The 21,732-nt window shown below is 40.6% G+C and overlaps 2 long non-coding RNA genes across 4 annotated transcripts in view, besides 1 other annotated feature; one reads left to right on the top strand and one right to left on the bottom strand.

Moving 5' to 3' along the window:
• Window positions 1–2,710: 2,710 nt before the first annotated feature.
• Window positions 2,711–12,146, bottom strand: LOC124907969 (uncharacterized). The gene is made up of 2 exons (XR_007088058.1): window positions 11,946–12,146; window positions 2,711–2,889 (listed from the first exon to the last, which is right to left on the bottom strand). It is a non-coding gene; the product is annotated as an uncharacterized LOC124907969 (long non-coding RNA).
• The window catches only part of LOC105373847 (uncharacterized), a 44,502-nt gene continuing 29,512 nt past the window's right edge, over window positions 6,743–21,732 (top strand). The window contains exons 1-3 of one of the 3 annotated variants that reach the window (XR_923802.3): window positions 6,743–6,868; window positions 14,271–14,481; window positions 18,435–18,817. This is a non-coding gene — a long non-coding RNA (uncharacterized LOC105373847). Of the gene's footprint in view, window positions 6,869–12,291; window positions 12,341–13,215; window positions 13,351–14,270; window positions 14,482–18,434; window positions 18,818–21,732 lie in introns of those variants that run through there. The other 2 variants (XR_923803.3, XR_923801.3) reach the window with 2 other exon arrangements.
• Window positions 13,602–14,103: an enhancer, noted in NCBI's record as "NANOG hESC enhancer chr2:206700713-206701214 (GRCh37/hg19 assembly coordinates)". NCBI's record gives its function as "activates a minimal SCP1, AML or CMV promoter by ChIP-STARR-seq in naive H9 embryonic stem cells {active_cell/tissue: H9 hESC(naive)}" and the evidence as "EXISTENCE:reporter gene assay evidence [ECO:0000049][PMID:30033119]".

Genomic DNA, 21,732 nt, shown 5'->3' with positions numbered 1-21,732 from the left:
ATTTCAATCCAACAGATATTTATTTCACTTACAGTAAAGCAGGTTTTGTCTAGAAAGTCACATCTAACACCATCACCAGCAAATTTTTATTGAGCACCTGCTGTGTACATGGCAACGAACTAGGTGCTCAGGTGTTTCTTCTGTGATTACGTTGACTTATAATCACCATATAGAGAAGCACTGTTCTTTCTCTCCCTCTCCCCTCTCCTTTCCTCTCTCCCTCTCTATTGCCCCAAGGGGAGCTGACTTCCAGGGGGAACCCTCTTGTTCTGCTGTCCAGGCCACCTGGGCTGCCATTCAGACCCCTCTCACTGCTCTTTCCCAAGATTGCTGAGTGGGGTGAGCATGCCACCCTTGTGCTGGCTTTCAGGGACAGGGTTTGCCTGCACTCTCCCCCTTCTCTGTGTTCCTAAGCTGAGGCATCCCAACGGGGCCACATTTCTCTCTGCAGGGACCCAGCAGTCTCTGCCAGTGGCCAATCACACTTTCTTGTCATGAACTTCTCCAGAGCTGCTCTCTGAAGTACCGCTGGGCAAAAAAAAAAAAAAAAAAAAAAAGCTTTTCCCCAGATATCCTCCATTTGTTTTTCTTTTGAGGGGAAGGGGCTTCAATGGCAGGATTTCTCTCCCACCCATCCATTCCAGTCGTGTTCTAGGCTGGCAAGGGCAGATCCATCCCTTACCCCCGGCAAAACGTGTCTAACTGGATGACTGTGGCTGCTCAGCAGAGCTGCAGCTATTCTGGCAGCTGCAGGAAAGCTGGGGGAGGGAAGCTGCCAGAACTCAGGCCTGGAGATGTACCCCCAAGCGATGGTCATGTGCATGGACCAGTTTTGAATACTTCCCACTTAAGCCTTGGAAGGAGCTAGGAAGGCGTGGCTAGGTGGGCAGAGGACAAAACACAGCTTCTCTTGTCTTGGGCTACCTGTTGGGTGTTTTCATATGGTTGGGCTATGAGGGAAACAGGGCTTTGGTGCCCATCATGCTAGCTGTGGGCACAGTGGGAAGGGTTGCAAATGTATGATTAGTTAATGTAAACTTGGATTTTGCAGAAAGCAGCCAAATCTGTGGAAGGGTGGCAGCTGCTGCATTGAACACATGCCCCAGGAAAGCCCTAAACTTGTGGAATCTGCATATTTTCCTCACCCCTGCCTAGAAGGGCAGCGCAGAGCAGTCATTACAGGACTTTCCTGGAGGCATCAGGAAGCCAGGGATGGTGATTTGTTTAGATTTGTCTGAGTAGTTGTGGGTTGCCAAATCACACAGACAGCTGCAGTCAGTTGCTTTCTTCTTGCTGTTCAATCCACGCCATGCATTTTATCAACCACATTTCTGCTCCACCCTGGATGTCTTGGGAAATCATCATAACTTAATGGAAAGGCAGAGCCTTGAATCTGCTCCCTTTCTGCAACATCGCTGCGTTTATTCAACTGTATCATTAGCTGGAAGATAATAACCAACCACAGCATCATCTTTTTCCAACTTTGGCATTTGTTTATTGAATCTTTGTAAAAGCACAATAGACTCTATGTGCCATTCTCTCCACTCTTCCTTCCAGAAGTAATGGTGATGACAGTGAGGAAGAGAAATCCAATTATGTAGAAACTGCGAATTTGGTGTGATGGAAATTCTGTGGGCAGCCTGGTTTTATCTGTGCAGAATTCCTTTAGATAAAAGCAAACCACTTTTTCCCCTGAATCAGGTTGGTTTTGGGGTGAGTTTCCAGGTAGGCTGGGGGGAAATCTGAGCACTCACCTTTGTTGCCATCTTTATGTTTTTCGTACAGAGTCAACCCACAATGATCATCTTACTAATTTTTTTTTTTTTTTTTTTGAGATGGAATCTCCCGCTGTCACCCAGGCTGGAGTACAGTGGCACAATCTGGGCTCACTGCAAGCTCCGCCTTCCAGGTTCAAGTGATTCTCATGGCTCAGCCTCCTGAGTAGCTGGGATTACAGATGCCTGCCACCACGCACAGCTAATTTTTGTATTTTTAGTAGAGGCGGGGTTTCACCATGTTGGCGAGGCTGGTCTTGAACTCCTGACCTCAGGTAATCCTCCCGCCTCGGCCTCCCAAAGTGCTGGGGTTGTAGGCATGAGCCACTGAGCCCGGCCTCTTACTATTTACAGAAGGCTGCAAAACTGGCACAGACTGGTACTTGGAAGTTAGGTTGTAGGAATGAATTTTATGGGCTTTCTCTTGTTTGACCACCAGTTTGGCTTAAATTGAATCATAGAATCTTATCATGAAGTGAAAACTTGGAAATAATCTTTTACTATCTTTCATTGTATAGATGAAGAAACTGAAGTAAAAAGAGAGCTTTACATTCTTAAAGATCCAGATCAATGGCAGCAATCTCCAGGTGTACCAGGTATAACCAGGTATCCAGGTGTATGGAATCTCCAGGTATACTGGGTCTCCAATAGTAAGAAATTAACAGCAATCACTAATAATAAAATAGAACACTTATAACAACATGCCAGCATTGCTTCTCTTGCACTTTGGGGCCATTACTAAGTAAAATAAGGGTTACTGGAACACAAACACTGCTGTACCATGACAGTCTATCCAATAACCAAGATGAGTCCTGAGTGACTGGCAGGTGGGGAGCATAGACAGCGTGGACCCGCTGGACAAATGAAGAATTCACATCCCAGGAAGGACAGAGTAGGACAGCAGATTTCATCACATTACTGAGAACAGCATGCAATTTAAACATTATGAATAGTTTATTTCTGGAATTTTCTGTGTAATATATTCGAATTGCAGTTGACCACAGTACTGTAGTAAGTAAAACCGTGAAGGAGGTAGGGATATTGTATTCGGCATTCCTTTACTTCCTTTGTAGATTGTTTCATCTTGTATCAGTCAGAGTGTGATCATAGAACCCTAGGAATGAGATAGAATAATAGGAAAATTAGATACAGAGGCTGGGTGCGGTGGCTCATGCCTGTAATCCCAGCACTTTGGGAGGTCGAGGTGGGTAGATCATGAGGTCAGGAGTTTGAGACCAGCCTGGCCAACATGGTGAAACCTCATCTCTACTAAAAATACAAAAATTAACTGGACGTGGGCGCACATACCTGTAGTCCCAGCTACTCAGGAGGCTGAGGCAGGAGAATTGCCTGAACCCAGGAGGTGGAAGTTCCAGTGAGTCGAGATCGTGCCACTGCACTCCAGCCTGGGTGACAGAGCAAGACTCCTGTCTCAGAAAAAATAAAAATAAAAAAATAAAAAAATAAAAAAATTAGATATAGAAAATGTCTTCTGTGGCCCCTGCTAATAAGAACTATGCAGGGAAGGGAATTCCGGGAAGTGTAGTTCCGGCTTAGGTAGTTGGCATAGCCTAAGTCCATCCATGCTCATTCAATGGTATTCCTACAAAGCTAGTTTTTTTTTCTTTTTTTTTTTTTTTGAGATGGAGTCTCACTCTGTTGCCCAGGCTGGAGTTCAGTGGCGCGATCTCGGCTCACTGCAAGCTCCTTCTCCTAGGTTCACACCATTCTCCTGCCTCAGTCTCCCGAGTAGCTGGGACTACAGGCGCCCGCCACCACGCCTGGCTACTTTTTTTTGTATTTTTAGTGGAGACGGGGTTTCACTGTGTTAGCCAGGATGGTCTCGATCTCCTGACCTCGTGATCTGCCCGCCTCGACCTCCCAACGTGCTGGGATTACAGGCGTGAGCCATCGCGCCCGGCCCAAAGCTAGTTTTTTAAAAAAAGTTATTTAATTTTATAAAAAGCATGTTATGCTGTATGGGTTCATTCAGGACTTACTTTTTAAAAACATTATATTTTTAGAATTTCTATATACTGTGGTGTACAGCTATAGCTCATTCCTGTTGACTGCTCTATTATGTTCCATTGTGTGAATATACCACAATTTATTCATCCACTCTCTTGTTGAAGGGAATCTGGGTTGTTTCCAGGCCTTGCTATTGTGAACAGTGTTCATATGAACACACTTTTCTTGTAGATGGCTCCAGGTGTTCATGGGCAAAAGTCTCTCATAAAGTTACACCAGGAGTAGAACTGCTGGCCAGAGGGTGGGTAGGACAGTCCTAGTTATGCCTGTTGTCTGAGAATAATGATATATTTTGCCTTTATCTTCTTGTCATCTGTAGCTTGTTTTTCACTTTCTTTTGACAAATAGGGGTTCTTAATTTTAGTATGGTCAAATTTATCAATTTTTTAAAATAGTTAACACTTTTTGAGTATTGTTTATGAAATTCTACTCTATCTCAAAGTCTAAAAGAGTTTTACTAAGAGTTTTAAAGTTGTTTTTTTTTTATAGTTAAGCACTCAATCCATCTGGAATGAATTTTGGTATATGGTATGATGTAGGGATCTAATTTCATGTTTTTCTGTAGGCATAACCTTTTTTATCCAGCTCAATTTATTTTCCCACCGGTCTGGCAGGCCTCTGTTATATATACTAGAGTTTCATGCATGTGGTTGTCTATTTCTGAGTGCTTTATTCTATTCTGTGGTCTGTTTGTCTGTCCCTGTGCCAATACCATCGTGTCTTAATTACTGTAGTTTCAGAAATAAAAAAGCATGTTATTAGGTGGGGCAAGTCTTTCCTCCACGCTCATCTTTTTGACAAAAGTTCTGCCTGTTTTTTTTTTTTCTTTTTATTATTTCATGTAAATTTAGAATCAGCTTATCAAGTTCCTCAAAAACACATGTTAGCATTTTGATTGGAGCTTTATTGAATTGCGGAGATGAACAGTACTATGTGATCATCTTATTCACAATGTGGTATACTCTTCAATGTATTTGGGTCATCTAACTGGCTATTAATAAAGTGTTATAATTCTCCCTATAGAGGGCTCCAGTGTATTTTTATATTTATTTCTAGATTCTTGGTATCCTTTGAAACTACTGTAAGTGTTGTCTTCTCTTTAGTTACATTTTCTGGTTGTTTATTCCAAGAGTACAGAAATGCAATTGCCTTTTGCTAAGCTTTCTTATTATTTCTAACAATTTGCTCATACATTCTTTTTGTTTTTTGGTGAAAACAGTTATTTTGTTTGAAAATAATGACTTTTATTTCTTTCTTTTCATCCCTTCTTTCTTTTTCTTCTGCTTTTGTGCTGGCTGGGGCTGTCAATATCGCACTGAATAGAAATGATAAGACTAGGCCATCTTACCTTATTTTTGACTTTTAAGGAAAGTATCCTAATGTTTTCCCATTTAGAATGGTGTTCTAAATTTACTTTTTATTTTTTGAGACATATTCTCACTCTGTCACAAGGCTAGATAGAGTTCAGTGGTGCCATCTTGGCTCACTGCAACCTCTGCCTCCCTGGTGCAAGCAATTCTCGTGCCTCAGCCTCCTGAGTAGCTGGGACTGTAGGCATGTGCCACCACGCCCGACTGATACTGGTATTTTTAGCAGAGATGGGGTTTTGCCATGTTGGCCATGTTGGTCTTGAACTCCTGGCCTCAAGTGATCCGCCTGCCTTGGCCTCCCAAAATGCTGGGATTACAGGCATGAGTCACTACACCTGGCCTTAAAGTTATTATTTTGTAGGTACTCTTTCTCAGACTAAGGAAGTTTCCTCTATTCTTAATTTGGAAAGAATTTTTTCTTCTGAAAAATTTTTATTGTGGTAAAAAATATATAACACAAATTTGCTATATTAACCACTTTGAAGTGTACAATTCAGTGGCATTAATCAATTGCCTTCACAATGTATGCAACCATAATCACTATCTCCAAAGCTTTTTTATCACCCCAAAAAGAAACTCTGTAACCATTAAGCAAGAACATCCTGTTCCCCTTTTCTCCGAGGCCCTGGTACCTCTATTCTACTTTCTGTCTTTATAAACTTGTCTACTCTAGATCTACCTTCCTTCTTTCTTTCTCTTTCTTTCTTCCTTCCTTCCTTCCTTCCTTCCTTCCTTCCTTCCTTCCTTCCTTCCTTTCTCTTTCTTTCTTTCTTTCTTTCTTTCTTTCTTTCTTTCTTTCTTTCTTCTTTTCTTTCCTTCTTTTTCTTTTCTTTCTTTCTCTCTTTCTTTCTCTCTCTCTCCTTCCTTCCTTTCTTCCTGTCTTTCCTTTTCTTTTTTTCCTCTCTCTCCCCCTCCCTCCCTCCCTTCCCCTCCCTCCCTCCCTCCCTCCCTCCCTTCCTTCCTTCCCTCCCTCCCTCCCTCCAACGGGGTCTCACTGTGTTGTCCAGACTGATCTCAAAGCCCTGCATGCATACGATTCTCCTCCCTTGGCCTCTGAAAGTTCTGGGATTATAGGTGTCAGCCACTGTGCCCAGCCTAGATATTTCATATAAGTGAAATCACATATTTGTCCTTTTGTGTCTGACTTCTTTCACCTAACATAATGTTTTCAAGGTTCATCCATGTTGTAGCATGTATCCAGATTTCACTCATTTTTATTGCTGAATAATATTCCATTATATGTATATACCACATTTTATTTATTCATTCATCTTCACCCATTCAACTTGGGTTGTTTCTACCTTTTGACTATTGTGAATAATTCTGCAGTAAGAAATTCTTTTTAAATTTTGAATTTGTATTGAATTTTATAAATGCTTTGTTTGCAGCTACTGGAATCATTATGTGTCTATATATTCTTTTAACCTGGGAGTGGGTGAATGACATTTTAAATCATGCAGAGTTTCAATCATTTTACTTCTCATGCACTTTTTCTCAGGAAGCTACTGGAAGATGTGCTCCACCAGACTGAGGTTGCAAACCAAGGACATGGGAGATAGTTAACAGAAGACCCAATAAAGGAGGGAAGAGAAGGGACTAGCCAGGACCATGGTGACAGCCATGCACCCAGAACCAAGGAGTTGAGGGCAACCTGGAGGAGTTAGGAGGACCTATGGGAGTTTTTCACTCAATAAGGTAACCTCGAAAGTCTCTCTATTGCATCCAAACATATTGAGAGATGGGGAGCCTGGGATTGGATTAATGGCAACAATATTGATAACAAGAAAGCAAAATAAGATAACTCCAGGCAAAACAAAATGTGTGCAGGCAAGGAAAACTAATCATAGGATAGTACGTGGCTTATCTGTAAATAGCATTTAGTCATAGATATAAATACAGAATATTAATCTATCTGAAAAATGTGATGTCATGTCTTAGGGACCTGTGGGGCAGGGGGAGTCCATGTGTGTGTGTTAGGGGTAAAGGGAGTTGGCAGGAGTGCTAAATCCTCATCTTCCCCAGCGGGAAGTTCGTAGATAGTACCTAAAACAGACCAATCAGGAATTAGACATACACGCATGTTATGTACTGATATGGACACAAATACTAACAAAAATTAATGGTAAGAATTAAAATTAGTTGCCTCTGGGGAAGGAAAATGGGGGCAGGGACTGCTATTTGTGGCAACAAGTCTTGTAGAACTATTTGACTTTTTAAAGTATGTGCTCATGTAACCTTGTTAAAAACTAAATTAAAGGGCTGGGTGTGGTGGCTCACGCCTGTTATCCCAGCACTTTGGGAGGCCGAGGTGGGCGGATCACGAGGTCAAGAGATTGAGACCATCCTGGCTGACAAGGTGAAACCCTGTCTCTACTAAAAATACAAAAATTAGCCGGGCGTGGTGGCGGGCGCCTGTAGTCCTAGCTACTTGGGAGACTGAGGCAGGAGAATGGCGTGAACCCGGGAGGCGGAGCTTGCAGTGAGCCAAGATCGCGCCACTGCACTCCGGCCTGGGCGATAGAGTGAGACTCCATCTCAAAAAAAAAAAAAAAAAAAAAAAAAGAGGAATTGAGTTGTGTTTCCCCCTTTGCTATTTTCTGGGCACAAGTCTTTTATCATGTGCATAATTTGAAAATATTTCTCCCATTCTGCAGATTGTCTTCTTACTTTCTTGATGATACCATTTATAGCACAAATATTTTTAATTTGGATGAATTCCAGTGTGTATATTTTTTCTTTTGTTGCTGTGCTTTTGAGGTGATATCTGAAAAACTATTGCTCAATCCAAGGGTATGAATATTTACTCCTGTGTTTTCTTGCAAGAGTTTTATAGTTTTAAGTCTTACATTTAGATCTATGATCCACTTTCGAGTTAGTTTTTATGTGTGGTGTGTGCTATGGTTTGGATATTTGACTTCTCCAAATCTCATGTTGAAATCTGATTCTGATTCTCAAGGTTGGAGGTGGGGCTTAATTGGAGGTGTTTGGGTCGTGGGGGCAAATCTTTCATGAATGGCTTGGAGTCATCTTCAAGTAATGAGTTATTGCTTCATTATTTCCTGTGAGAGCTCGTTGTTTAAAAAACTCTGTCACCTCTCTCCTCTCTCCCTTGCCTCTGCTCTTGCCATGCAATTTCTACACGCTGTCTCCCCTTTGCCTACTGCTGTCAGTGGAAGCAGAGGCTCTCACCAGAAGCAGATGTTGGTGCCATGTTTCTTGTATAGTCTGTAGAACTGTGAGCCAAATAAGCCTTTTCTCTTTATAAATTCCCCAGCCTGAGGTATTCCTTTAGAGCAACACAAATGGACCAAGGCAGTCTGAGAAAGGGGGCCAAATTCATTCTTTTGTATGTGGATGTCCTTAGTACCGTTTGTTGTTGAAAAGACTGTTCTATCCCCATTTTATTGTCTTGGTACCCTTGTTGAAAATTAATTGACCATCAAGTAAGGTTTATTTCTCAACTTTCAATTCTATTCCATTGATTTCTATGTCCTTGTGCCAGTACTGTATTCTTGATTGCTATAGCTTTACAGTAAGTTTGAAATTTGAAGTGTGAGTCCTCCAAATTTATTCTTCTTTTTCAAGATTGTTTTGGCTATTATGTCTCTTGTACTTCCATATGAATTTTACAGTCAGCTTGTCAGTTCCCCTCAATCCCCCAAAAAAGCCAGCTGAAATTTTGCTAGGGATTGCATTGTGCCTATAGGTTAATTAGGGAGTATTGCCATTTTAAACTATTAAGTCTTTCAATCTATAAACATGAGCTGTCTTTCCATTTGTTTACATCTTTACTTTCTTTCAACAATGTTTTGTAGTTTTCAGTGTATAAGTCTTGTCCTTTTTATTCCTAAGTATTTCAATTTTTTGATGCTAATGTAAATGAAATTGTTTTCTTAATTTTATTTTTGGATTGTTCATTGTTACTGTATAGAACTACAACTGATATTTATATATTGACCTTATGTCCTACAACTTTGCTGAACTCCTTTATTAGTCTCATTTTTGTGTGAATTCTTTAGTTTTTTTCTAAATAAGAGATCATGTCATCTGTGGATGGAGAGAGTTTTACTTCTTCCTTTCCAATCTGGATGCTTTATATTTCTTATTCTTACCTAATTTCTCTGGCTACTCCAGTATAATATTGAATAGTAATGGTAAGAGTGGAAAACCTTGTCTTGTTCTTAGTCTCAAAGGGAAAGTAATCAATCTTTTATCATTAAATGTGATGTTAATTTGTTTTTTCATAGATGCCCTTTATTCTACTACTTGTTTGCTGAGTGTTTTATTGTTAAATAATATTGAACTAACACTACATCAATTAGGCTTTGGTACAATAACAGTGAATTATAGGTAAAAGGATGGTAAGCTCAGACTCTATTTACTAGGTAGTATTTAGAGAAATCCAAAGATAATAGGGGGACAGAATCAAAGACAAAGGAAATTTATCCTTTGACGCCTGCAGTTATAGCAAACAGTAAACACAGCCTTGCTCCTAGCATAAACGAAAACCTCACACTAAAGGCCTGTTTAGTGCTCAGTTCCTTTTACCCAGTATGTCATGTCTGGCTTTCAACAAAAAAAATTATAAAGCATGCTAAAAGACAAAAACACAGCCTGAAAAGAAAAAGTTAAGCATCAGAACCAAACCTAGGTATGGCAGATATTTTGAATTTATGAGACTGGGTATTAAAATAACTCATTCATATGCCAATAGCTCTCATAGAAAAGGTTGACAATATACAAGAGATAGAAACCCTAAGAACAAATCAAAAGAAAATGCTAGAAAGAAAAAACACCATAAAAGAAATGATGCCTGATATGGTTTGGCTCTGTGTCCTCACCCAAATCTCATCTTGTAGCTCCCATAATTCCCATGTGTTGTGGGAGGGACCTGGTGGGAGATAATTGAATCATGGGCTCAGGTCTTTCCTGTGCTATTCTCTTGATCGTGAAGAAGTCTCATGACATCTGATGGCTTTAAAAACGAGAGTTTGCCTGCAGAAGCTCTCTTTTTGCCTGCCGCCATCCACAAAAGATGTGACTTGCTCCTCCTTGCCTTCCACCATGATTGAGAAGCCTCCTCAGCCACATGGAACTGTGAGTCCAGTTAAACCTCTTTCTTTTGTAAATTGTCCAGTCTTGGGTATGTCTCTATCAGCAGTGTGAAAATGGACTAATACAATGCTTTTGGTGCATTAATCAGTAGACTGGACACGGCTGAGAAAAGAATCAGTGAGCTAGAAGACATGTCAATAGAAACTTTCCAAACTGAAAAAGCAAAGATAAAAATGAATGAAAAAATTAGAATGGACTATATAAGAACTATGGCACAATTACATAAGGTATAACATACCATTAACTTATAATTATTTTTATTTTTGTAAGGTCGGTAGTGATGCCTCTTTTTAAATCCTGATTTTAGTAATTATAATCTTCTCCCTTTTTCTTGGTATCTAAAGGCTTGTCAATTGTAGTGCTCTTTCAAATAACCGATATTTAGTTTTGTTGATTTTTTTCTATTCTCTATTTCATCTATTTCTGCTCTATTCTTTAGTATTTTCTGACTTCTGCTTGCTTTGGGTTTAGTTTTCTCTTCCTTTCCAGTTCTTTAATGTGAAAGACTAGGTTATTGATTTGAGATCTGCCCTCTTTTTTAACATAGACATGCATAGCTGTAAACTCATCTCTAAGCACTGCTGTAGATGCAACCCCCGTTTTGGAATGTTGTGTTTTAATTTTCATTCATTTCAAAGTATTTCCTTATTTCTCACATGATTTATTTTTTGAGCCATCGATTATTTAAGAGTGTGTATTTAACTTCCAAATATTCTTAAATTTTCCAAATTTACTGATGTTATTGGCTTCTAATTTAATTCCACTGTGGCTGGAAAACAATTTGTATAATTTCAACCCCCTTAAATTCACTGAGGTTTGATTTATGGCCTAGTATACGGTCTATCCTGGAGAATATTCCATGTGTGCTGGAGAAGGACATGTATTCTTCTGTTGTTGGGTGGTATATTCTTTAGATATCTTCTATATGCTTGGCAATTTTCTCTCTAGTTCCTGTATTCATTATTGAAATTGAGGTATTGAAGTCTTCAACTATTATTGAATTATCTTTCTTCCTTCAATTCTGTTAATGTTTGCTTCATGTGTTTTCAGTTTCTATTATTAGTTGCATATAGGCTTATAATTATTATATTTTTCTGATGGGTTGATAATTTTTAACATTATGAAATGTCTTTTTTAATCCCCAGTGACATTATTTATTTTAGTGTCTGTTTTGTCTGATATGAATATAGCAACTTCATTTCTTTTATGATTGCTGTTTGGATAGTATATTTATTTTCATTTTTTTTTTTTTACTTTCAACCATTTGTATATTTGAATCTAGCATATATTTTTTGTTGACATAATATATTTGGGTTTTGTTTTCTTATTCAGTCTGCAATCTCTGCCTTTTGATTGGATTGTATAATCCATTCGTATTTAGTGTTTCTATTGTGTGGTTGGATTTATGTCTGCCAATTTACTTCTTTTTTTGTATGTCTCCTTTTTTTGTTCTTCTGTTATTCCTTTGCTGTCTTCTTTTTCATTAAGTGAATATTTTCTAGCAGAAAATTTTAAGGCCTTTAATGATTTTTAAACTACATATTTTTTGAACTACATATTATTTGAACTATTTTCTTCATGGTTGCTCTAGGGCTTGAAAATACATCTTATCTTTTACTTATCCTTTTATAATTTTCAGAACTTAAATGGTATTTACCTGGGGAGAGGGTCTGTCTGCCACACTCCTCACATTGCCATTCCATAGTCAGTCCCTACCATATCAAACTTTTTAACCTGTTTCATGCAGCCACATCCAATTTTTGAACATCTTGGAAATAGTTTGAACTAATTTCTGTATAGAGAAAATACCAGAAAATACAAGTCAATTACTCTTCTACACAGCAGAGTTGCACTTTATCTCCTGCCAGCCACTTCAAACAAAAAATTTAGAACCTCAGCCAAAATGACATGGTGATGGATTGATCTGATGACTCCTTTGTGGTCACAGCTCTCCATTGTTACCTGTTCTTACATTCCGAGGCACACTCCTTTAGCTCTGCTTTGATTTTTGAAATGTATTTTAAAGAGCATTCTGTGCCTACTCCTAGTTCTGTGAGTGTTGAGAGGGCCTTTGTCCAATTGCACATAAGTTCAGATCTATGACAAAATTCACATGCAGGGAACAATTAGTGCATAATTAAGGACAAAAGCAGGCGGCAGTGTGTTGAAGTGCAGCAGAAATTCAGATAAGGGAGATGTTACCTTAGGTTGCAGGAGCTGGTGGAGGCCCCAGAGGGACTCAAGCAAAGCCCTAAAGGATTAGATCAGCAGTGGAAGGAGTAGGGGAGGGATAAGCACCTGCACCTGTAGGACCCCAGAGTTCTTTCTTCTTCCCTGGAGAAAATTAGTTTCCAATTAACATCCTTTGTTGACTTGATTGAAGATAAAGGAACACATTTCTTTCTTTCTTTTTTTTTTTTTTGAGACGGAGTCTCGCTCTGTCACCCAGGCTGGAGTGCAGTGGTGCGATCTCCGAGCTCACTGCAAGCTTCGCCTCCCAGGTTCACGCCATTCTTCTGCCTCAGCCTCCTGAGTAGTTGGGACTACAGGCACCCGCCACCACGCCTGGCTAATTTTGTTTTTGTATTTTTAGTAGAGACGGGGTTTCACTGTGTTAGCCAGGATGGTCTCGATCTCCTGACTTTGTGATCTGCCCGCCTCGGCCTCCTAAAGTGCTGGGATTACAGGCTTGAGCCACCGCACCCGGCCTAAGGAACACATTACTAAACTTTTCTGGTAGCTAGGTCATCCTTCAAAGGCAGTGGCTTATGTGATTTGCAGACCAACAACGCCAGCATCGCTTTGTTGTTAGAAATGCCAAGTTCTTGTTAAACATGTAAATGCTCAGACCTTATTCCAGACATATTAAATCAGAACCTTTTGGGGTGGGCCTGAGAATTTGTGTTTTACCAAGTTCACAAGTGGTTCTCAAGCATGCTAAAGATCAAGAACACTGTTCTCAAGTGTTTTACCTGCCCACGCTTTGCACCCAGGGCATATTTTGAGTGAAAGAGTCGAGACCTGCATCTAGAGGCCCCTAAGAATGGACTAAGGCTGGGCAGGTACTGATATCCAATTAGCACATTATGTAAATGGAAAACTGCATGACTGCACCCAGGCCAGCAGACTAGTTAAATAAGTAAATAGAAGGACGTCTGGCTCTCATCTCCCACAGCTGCCTCACATTTTTCAATCCAGGCACCGGGCAGCAGAAGCAGCGGGGGTGGGGTGGCTCCCTGGCATAAGGTAATCTGGCTATCTGGGGAGAAAGAGCAGCCATTTAAAATGCCCTCATGAAAATAACTCACCATCAGCAAGGTTATTACTCAGCGCTCATTCCCCTACCAGGAAGGCAGAACCATAACCAACACTCCCAGTCATCCTGTCAACCTAATTTCATACTCCCTCCCCTATTCTTTTTGTTAGCACTAGTTTGGGGAGAATTTTCCTGATTCACTGAACCTCCAAGCCTATAAATTATTGAATCTTTCTGTGCTCCCACTCCGGATAGGGTTTGGAGAGCATGATGAGAACCACTTGCATATTCTCAAACGAATATTGGTTTCTCAACAGCCTCTTTTAACACAATAATGCTAAGAGGGGCTTAGAGGGGGAGGGTCTCCAGGGGAGGTCAGGGTTCCTTTGAGAAAGGCCTGTCCAGATGGATGGGCTCGGCTTTCTAAAGCCCAGCAGTTTGGTTTCCAGTGGTGGTTGGATTCAGCTGCCAAAAACCCAAATTAGGAAAGGTTTTGTTGATAGCCCATAAGAGGACACTCTGGAAGATGGATTGAAGTTTATTGCCAACCCCGGACAATAAATAGACATATATACAACCCAGAGAAAAAGCGTGTGCAAATATATATGTGTAAATATATATATGTGTGTGTGTGTGTAAATATATATATGTGTGTGTAAATATATATATATATATTTATGTATGTATGTATGCTGTGTTTTACCAAAATAAATGTGTTTCTCACAGTCTTTGCCATGGACAAAATGATCAAAACCAGCTGCTCCGTGGAGTTCTTCATTGAAAGGAAGAGAGAGGTGGAGTTGGCAGTGAAGCGGGATCTGCAGACACACTTCAGCATCAAGCTGACTTATCACTCCTCTGGAAACGGTTAACATGCCTGGTCCAGCCACCCGTCATGTGGATGTGATGTGCCTCTCAGCAGTTCTGAAGATGACAGGTATTTACTTCACCCCCAAATCTGAGAGGCAAAGGGTCACATCACAGGGGAAGCTGGTTTGCTTCTGAGCCAGTTCATTTGCATTTCTCATTAATCCAGGCTAGACCCTTTTCCAAGTCTCCACCATAATCTATTCACAACAGTTCAAACATTTGACTTTGTTTTGGTTGAGTTTACTCTAATGTGGTTTCTGCATAGCCCTCTCTTTTATGGTAATCAAATGTTCTGCCAGCATTTCTTCTTCTATGTGCACCAGCTAAGGAAACCAGATGCTTTGGGTTGGTCTTTTCAATGTATCTGAGTGTTGTTTTTGTTTAGTATTTCAGAGGTTTGGCTAAAGAGCACTGTTTTGTAAATCTGACCCCTGATGCACCCCATTTCCCAACCTACTAATAGTTTTGGCTACTGCTCCCATCTTGATTTGAAACTGCTCCCCATCACTATGCAGATTATCGTGTGGAAAGACAAGCTCATTTAATTCATCTTGTTTGATTTGCTTAATTTTCTTTTTGACCATTTATTCCTTTCTGCAGTTTAAAGAGGGTGGATAGAGAAGCTGAACAGCTGACCCAGAACCACGCCCTCTATTGTCTCTCAACCAATCACAGACCTGAGTGGGATTGGTCTCTGATGTGTGGGGATTTTTCCCTCCTCACACTATCAGTGTGGGAAGGAAGCAGGCCAGTTCTCGTGGGAGTGTTGGTTTATAATGCAGACTGAAAGTGTTTCAGAAAAGTAACTTGGCATTGAATCAAACTAATAAGTGGAGCTGTTTGTCTGTATGGATTGAAGAAAGACTTTCTAGGGCCTCAAGACTGTGTGGGAAAGAGAAGAGAAGAGGGCTAAGGTGACTCTGTTAGAGGAAGCTGAGTGAAATATGGGGCTTGAAGTCAACATAGTAGAAGGATGCTTTACAAATGGGGTGATAGAAAAGGAAACAATCTGGGAACTTTAGCCCTCTCTGACCCTGGTTCTATCCTCTTGGTTGGTGGCTATGATTCTCTGCTTGGCTTTATGTCTGCTTGGCTTCTTACAGAAAATTGGAGGGGAAACTAAAAAAATCAATGACCTAATTCAGGAGTCAAAGAAAACCAAAGAAGATCAAGTGGTCCCCAAAGACTGGGCTTGGATACCTGAAAGAATATAGAGAGAAGCAGCATTTGAGATTACATATGGCGGTTAATAATGACTGAGCCACCGAAAACACAGAGGGAAAAGGGCTAGATTTATGCTAAACAAAATCAGTGGGATGAGGAGTTCTCCCTCCAAGGACTTTTGACGTTTGCTCCGAGACCTGGAATTTGAGGTTCTAAATGACACAGGGTGAGGAAAGCATAAAAGGGAACAAAGTTCAAAAAAAAGAATAGAGGTCAACAGTTAATGGGTTAAAGTTAGTTTAAGGTTATGAGTCTAAAATCCAGAGAAAAAGCACCAGACATTGGTTTTTCGAGAACAATAGCTACCACCACACACATACAAACCCAAATACAAATTTGAAATCTCTAGGGAAGAATGTTCAGCACAGAGTCTTGGCATTTATTCCAGATGTTCAAAAGACTGCACTTTCCCACTACAAGTTTGTGCCTTTGTGAAGTTTTGAAGTTTACTAACAAGGGGTGGTCCGTTTGAAATGGCCCCATACCACCACAGTAAGGAGTAAATACTTGTTAAATTTCAATTATGTGCCAGAACAATGTGGGGAAGCTGGGAGAAGAGAATAGTGGTAGGGACAAAACCCTTGTCCTCTAGAAATGGGCTAAACAGGAGATAAGGCAAGGAGGTGGGCATTTTTGGCAGAACAGCAAGCAAGGGTTGAGAATAAAAATGAGCAAATTCATGAAAAATGTTTCCATGTTTTAGCCCAAGCAGGATACTATATCTCAACTACAGGCTTTAGTTCTATAAATTATTGACTGCGTCTGGATCTTGTTATAATTTTCAAACATGCTTTTGAAAATCTAGGCACATGTGAATTAGACAGGGTTCCCTAGAGGGACAGATCTAATAGGATATATATAAAGGAGAGTTTATTAAGTAGTATTAACTCACACTATCATAAGGTCCCACAATAGGCTGTCTGCAAGCTGAGGAGCAAGGAAGTCAGTCCAAGTCCCAAAGCTGAAGAACTTGGAGTCCAATGTTCAAGGGCAGGAAGCATCCAGCATGGGAGAAAGGTGTAGGCTGGGAGGCTAGGCTAGTCTAGCTTTTTCATGTTTTACTGCCTGCTTTATATCCTGGCCATGCTGGCAGCTGATTAGATTGTGCCCACCCAGATTAAGGGTAGGTCTGCCTTTCCCAGCCCACTGACTCAAATAGTAATTTCCTCTGGCAACACCCTCACAGACACACCCAGAATCAATACTTTGCATCCTTCAATCCAATCAAGTTGACAGTATTAACAATCACAACATGTATTTTACTCATGGGCTGTAATGAATTTAGCAAAGGGAAAACTATCTTGCTTGAGATTTTTTTTTTTTAAATGAAACACATTCTCACTCTGTTACCTAGGCTGGAATGCGGTGGTGTGATCTCGGCTCACTGCAGCCTCTGCCTCCCAGGTTTAGGTGATTCTCCTGCCTCAGCCTTCTGAGTAGCTGGGATTACAGGCACCCACCACCATGCTTGGCTAATTTTTGTATTTTTAGTAGAGATGGGGTTTCACCATGTTGGCCAGGCTGGTCTTGAACTCCTGACCTCAAGTGATCTACCTGCCTTGGCCTCCCAAAGTGCTGAAATTACAAACCTGAGCCATCGTGCCCAGCAAGATGATTAATTTTCATAGCAAGCATATCAATAAGATCTAGATTAATGAGTTTTCCAACAATTATATATGTAGTGAGAGTTGGATATACAGCATGATTGAATGGATTGAAGATATTATATTTGACATTCTCTGAGTTTTTCAGGGGTTAGCTCAATGAGAAGACATAGATAAACTGGATTTCAACTACTGTGTCATTAAATGTTGTTCTTCCTTTTCTTCCTTTTTCATTTTCTACCATTCTGCTGTTGATTCTCCTCTACTGTTCATTTTAAAGATGTGCACACTAGCCTGTACATATATGCAAAGGTTGGTGGAAGGGCATGACCAGAAACAGAGATTTCTGCAAGAGGTGGAGAGGGTCAAAGTGATGCTCCCAGAAGGGGAATGTAGATGACTTGCAGGGGTGATGGATCCCTGGAAATGCAGGTGTTTGTAAGGAAATGATTTCAAGAGCCTAGCCAGGATGTGATATAATCAGACAATGCTGAGATTTTGAAGTAGGCTGAATGATGGTTTTGAAGTTCAAATTTTAGGGAGCTGAGCATCTTGGAATGCTGATAGAACTGCCAACAAGTTCAGAGAAGGAGGTTAGCTTTTTCTTTGCTTGTCTGTGTATGACGGCCGGACATTTATGCAGAGGTGTAGTAGTAGAATAATTGGAAAAATTGTCCCAATTATTTCCCTCTCTGAATCCATATTTCTTAAAATATGATTTTGCATCTCCTTCCATCAAGAGGAGTGCCTTCTTCCCCACCCCTTGAATCTGGGCTGGTTATATGTCTTGCTTTGGTCAATTAGAATTATGTGGTGGAAGTAACAGTGTTACAGTTCTGAGCCTTGCACAGGTGTGTTTACTCTTTTGTAACCCTGTCATCACCATATGAGCAAATCCCGGTGAGCCTGCTAGAGGGTGAGAAACCAGGTGAGCAGAGCCAGGTCATCCCAGTTGTCCCCTCTGAGTCCATCTGAGATCACCCAGTTCTTACCCACCCACCACGTGACATGGATGTGTGAACACACCCAGCTGAGATCAGTCAAGTTAGGCCCACATCACAAAACCATCCAGAGTATTCATACACTCATGAGCAATAAAAATCAGTGACTGTTTTAAATCACTGTGTTTTAAGATTGTTTGTTATGCATTATTATTATGGCAATGGATAACTGATACAGGTATCTTGGACAGAATTCACTTGCAGATCTAAAAGAGACAAACAGAAGCTGGAAATTGTACATAGAGTTGATAGGAAAACCACCTGATTACAAATCACTTATCGGAAATGCTATGTGGAGAAGAATTAGAAGACATGGTCACTGAGCAGGAAGAGACATGACTCTGCCAAGGTATTATTGGAAAGGTTGGAGGTGATCTACTATATGGAAGCATCTCTGAAGTCTAGACATAAATCATCACAGTTCTAGAAAAAGTGGAAGAGAAAACACACCTTTGTAAAAGGACTGGAACATAGGAAAGTGATTGAGTTTGAAACACCAACAAAACCATATAGGGTGACGGACAGAAACCAGATTATAAGGTGTTAAGGAGGGAGGAAGAAAAGACAAATCAAGGTTAGTATGATTTCCTATGCATTCTAGAGGAAAGATGTGGTAGTGTTGTAGGAATTCCTTCTTAATTCAGCTAAGAGCTTGATTCTTGTCACATGGCCATGAAATATTAGGCTCACAGACAGTTTGAAGGGTGAGAATAATGGAATTTATTGGACAAAAAGGAAAAAAGGGAAACAGGGACCCTCCACAAAGCCAGAGTCCTGCTAGTGGGCAGATTGAATTCCAGGCTCCACCTAGGAAGAGGAGGGGCCAGGCTCCTCCCCGCTGCAAACAGCACAAACTTCTGTGGCTCTACCCCCCTCAATGTGCACTCCTCCCAGTGCACAGGCCAGTTGGAGTTTTTGCAGGAACCCCTTTGCACTTGGCTGTCTCAGTAGGGACTCTGATAGATGGGAGAATGGAGGGAAGGCCTTTTCACTAGAGGGACCGACATGTTCTTAAACACAGAGAGGTCATACCAGACAGGAGAGAGATGACTTAGGGGAGGGGTGATGATACTGGGGCTACTAATGTCTACTTTATAATGATAAGACCATGAAGAGAGCATTTGACTTGAGGGCCTACAGCATTTGCAGATATTCATTAATTCTGTGAAATTCGTCTGTGAGATTTAGTTACACACTCTAAGTTGGGAGCAGTCTGAGCGCCAAAAATAATGTGGCTATCATATTATTTTACTCATGTTACAGATGAGTAACTTTAGATATCAAGTAGTTAAATAACTTGCCCAAAGTCAAACAGGAAGTCTGTTACTGAGTTGCTGAAAGATCCCAGTTCTACAAATAAACCTCTAGTCTACTAGCTTTTCACCAAATGAGTTAGAAGTCAGGTTAAGTCCATTTATTTTATGGATCCATTGACATAAGCAAAAAAAAAAATTATTTCTTATGAGAGGTTCTAAATATCTAAGATGGTGTTTACTTTTCCATCTTTTTATTTTATTTTATTTTTACTCTTTATACACCTTTACCTTATACACAGATATGTTTGGCTTCTCTCTGTGTTTTAAGATGGTACATGCTAGGTCTGGGTTGCAACATCCAGCTTTTCCTGATCTACATTGACTTTTTTTCTTTTTTTCAGATGGAGTTTTGCTGTGTCACCCAGGTTGGAGTACAGTGGCATGATTGCAGCTCACCACAACCTCTGCCTCCTGGGTTCATGTGATTCTCCTGCCTCAGCCTCCCAAGTAACTGGGATTAACAGGCACCCGCCACCATGCCCAGCTAATTTCTGTATTTTTAGTAGAGACGAGGGTTCACCATGTTGGCCAGGCTGGTCTTGAACACCTGACCTCAAGTGATCCACCCACCTCGGCCTTCCAAAGGGCTGGGATTACAGGTGTGAGCCACTGCATCTGGCCCACATTGACTTTTTATAGGCAATAGAAAACTCTTGAAGGCATTTATTAGGTTCCAGAGTTTAAAATTCTTAATGTTTCAGGGAAATCCCTTTGATCTGCTAGTGTCTAGGCTATGAAAGGTGATCGCCATTCTTGGGAAATACACCTAGATGAATTCACCTGTGAAGGTTATAATGATGCTTATCACTTTGAAGCTTAACTTTCTCCTGCAAGATCATCTCTCAGCTTTGCTAATTTCTTTCTCCTTGGTTGGTCCAAGGAAATTTGTCCACCACACCAGAGCTTTCAGACCTCCAAGTTCTCTATAGAATGAGAATTTGATGCTTTAAAAGTAGAACCTACCAATCAACTAGTCTGACACATGGAAAGGTAGTATTTTTTTTCTATTTTTTACTGCAGATTAAGAAAGCTAATGAATATTAATGGCAATGTGCAGTCACCTATGAAACGACCTTGCACATGAGATGCACTCTAGCTTCCAAGACAATTGGGAGAAATGCAAAACTGGGGAGAGTCAAAGTGCCAGACAAGAGAGAAGACAGAAGCTGGAAAAAGTGGACAGAAATTTGATAAGAAGGGAAAAGCAACTAGAAAAAGAGAGGAAATGGAAAATGTAGAAAGCAAATGGAGTGGAAACATATATCAGATATAAGTAGAAGGGAAACTGATTTTCGTATTTCAAAAGACTGAAAAGGTTGCATTTCATGCATGGGTGTGTATATATGTATGTGCGTGTACCTGAACAACTACACTTAATCTCAAGGGTTTGAAATATACCATGATGATATTAATTTAACTAATCCTCTCTGGCAACTGTGAAACAGATCTGCCAACTTCCTTTCCACTGGGGGAAACTGAGGCAGAGGAAACAATGCCTCACTCTAGGACATAAGTGAAGCTGGCAGAAGCCCTGGCAAAGTGATGCCAATCCTCCTTTTCCCATGGGGCCTGCCCAGAGGGGAAGACCATTTGAACTTGGCATTTTATAATAATTCATGGTATGTTATTTTCAGTTGTAATTGTCTTATGTCTAATTTTTATTTTTATTTTATTATTTATTTATTTATTTATTTTGAGAGGGAGTCTTGCTGTGTTGCCCAGGTTGGAAGGCAGTGGCATAATCTTGGCTCACTGTAGCCTCTGCCTCCTGGGTTCAAGCTATTCTCCTGCCTTAGCCTCCTGAGTAGCTGGAATTACAGGTGTGTGCCACCATGCTCAGCTAATTTTTGTATTTTTAGTAGAGACGGGTTCACCATGTTGGTCAGGCTGGTCATGAACTCCTGACCTCAAGTGATCCACCCGCTTCGGCCTCCCAGAGTGCTGGGATTACAGGGGTGAGCCACTGTGCCTGGCTTACATCTAATATTTTAATTAGCATTGTAATGTATCTTACTTGAACCCCAGAGGGCATCATTGAAAGAATCAAAAACCAAGAACCCAAAAACACACAGAATGAGTGAATGAAAATTAAAAATACTCCTGGGAGTTCCCGGCCTTCTGGCTTGTGTTCTAACCATTAGATGCTGCTGCCTTTCTCCAATCCCCTCCACAT

Source organism: Homo sapiens, chromosome 2 (assembly GCF_000001405.40).
Source record: "Homo sapiens chromosome 2, GRCh38.p14 Primary Assembly".
Lineage (NCBI taxonomy): Eukaryota > Metazoa > Chordata > Mammalia > Primates > Hominidae > Homo > Homo sapiens.
Note: the sequence above shows the minus strand (reverse complement) of the source record. Positions and strands in the feature narration are given on the sequence as shown.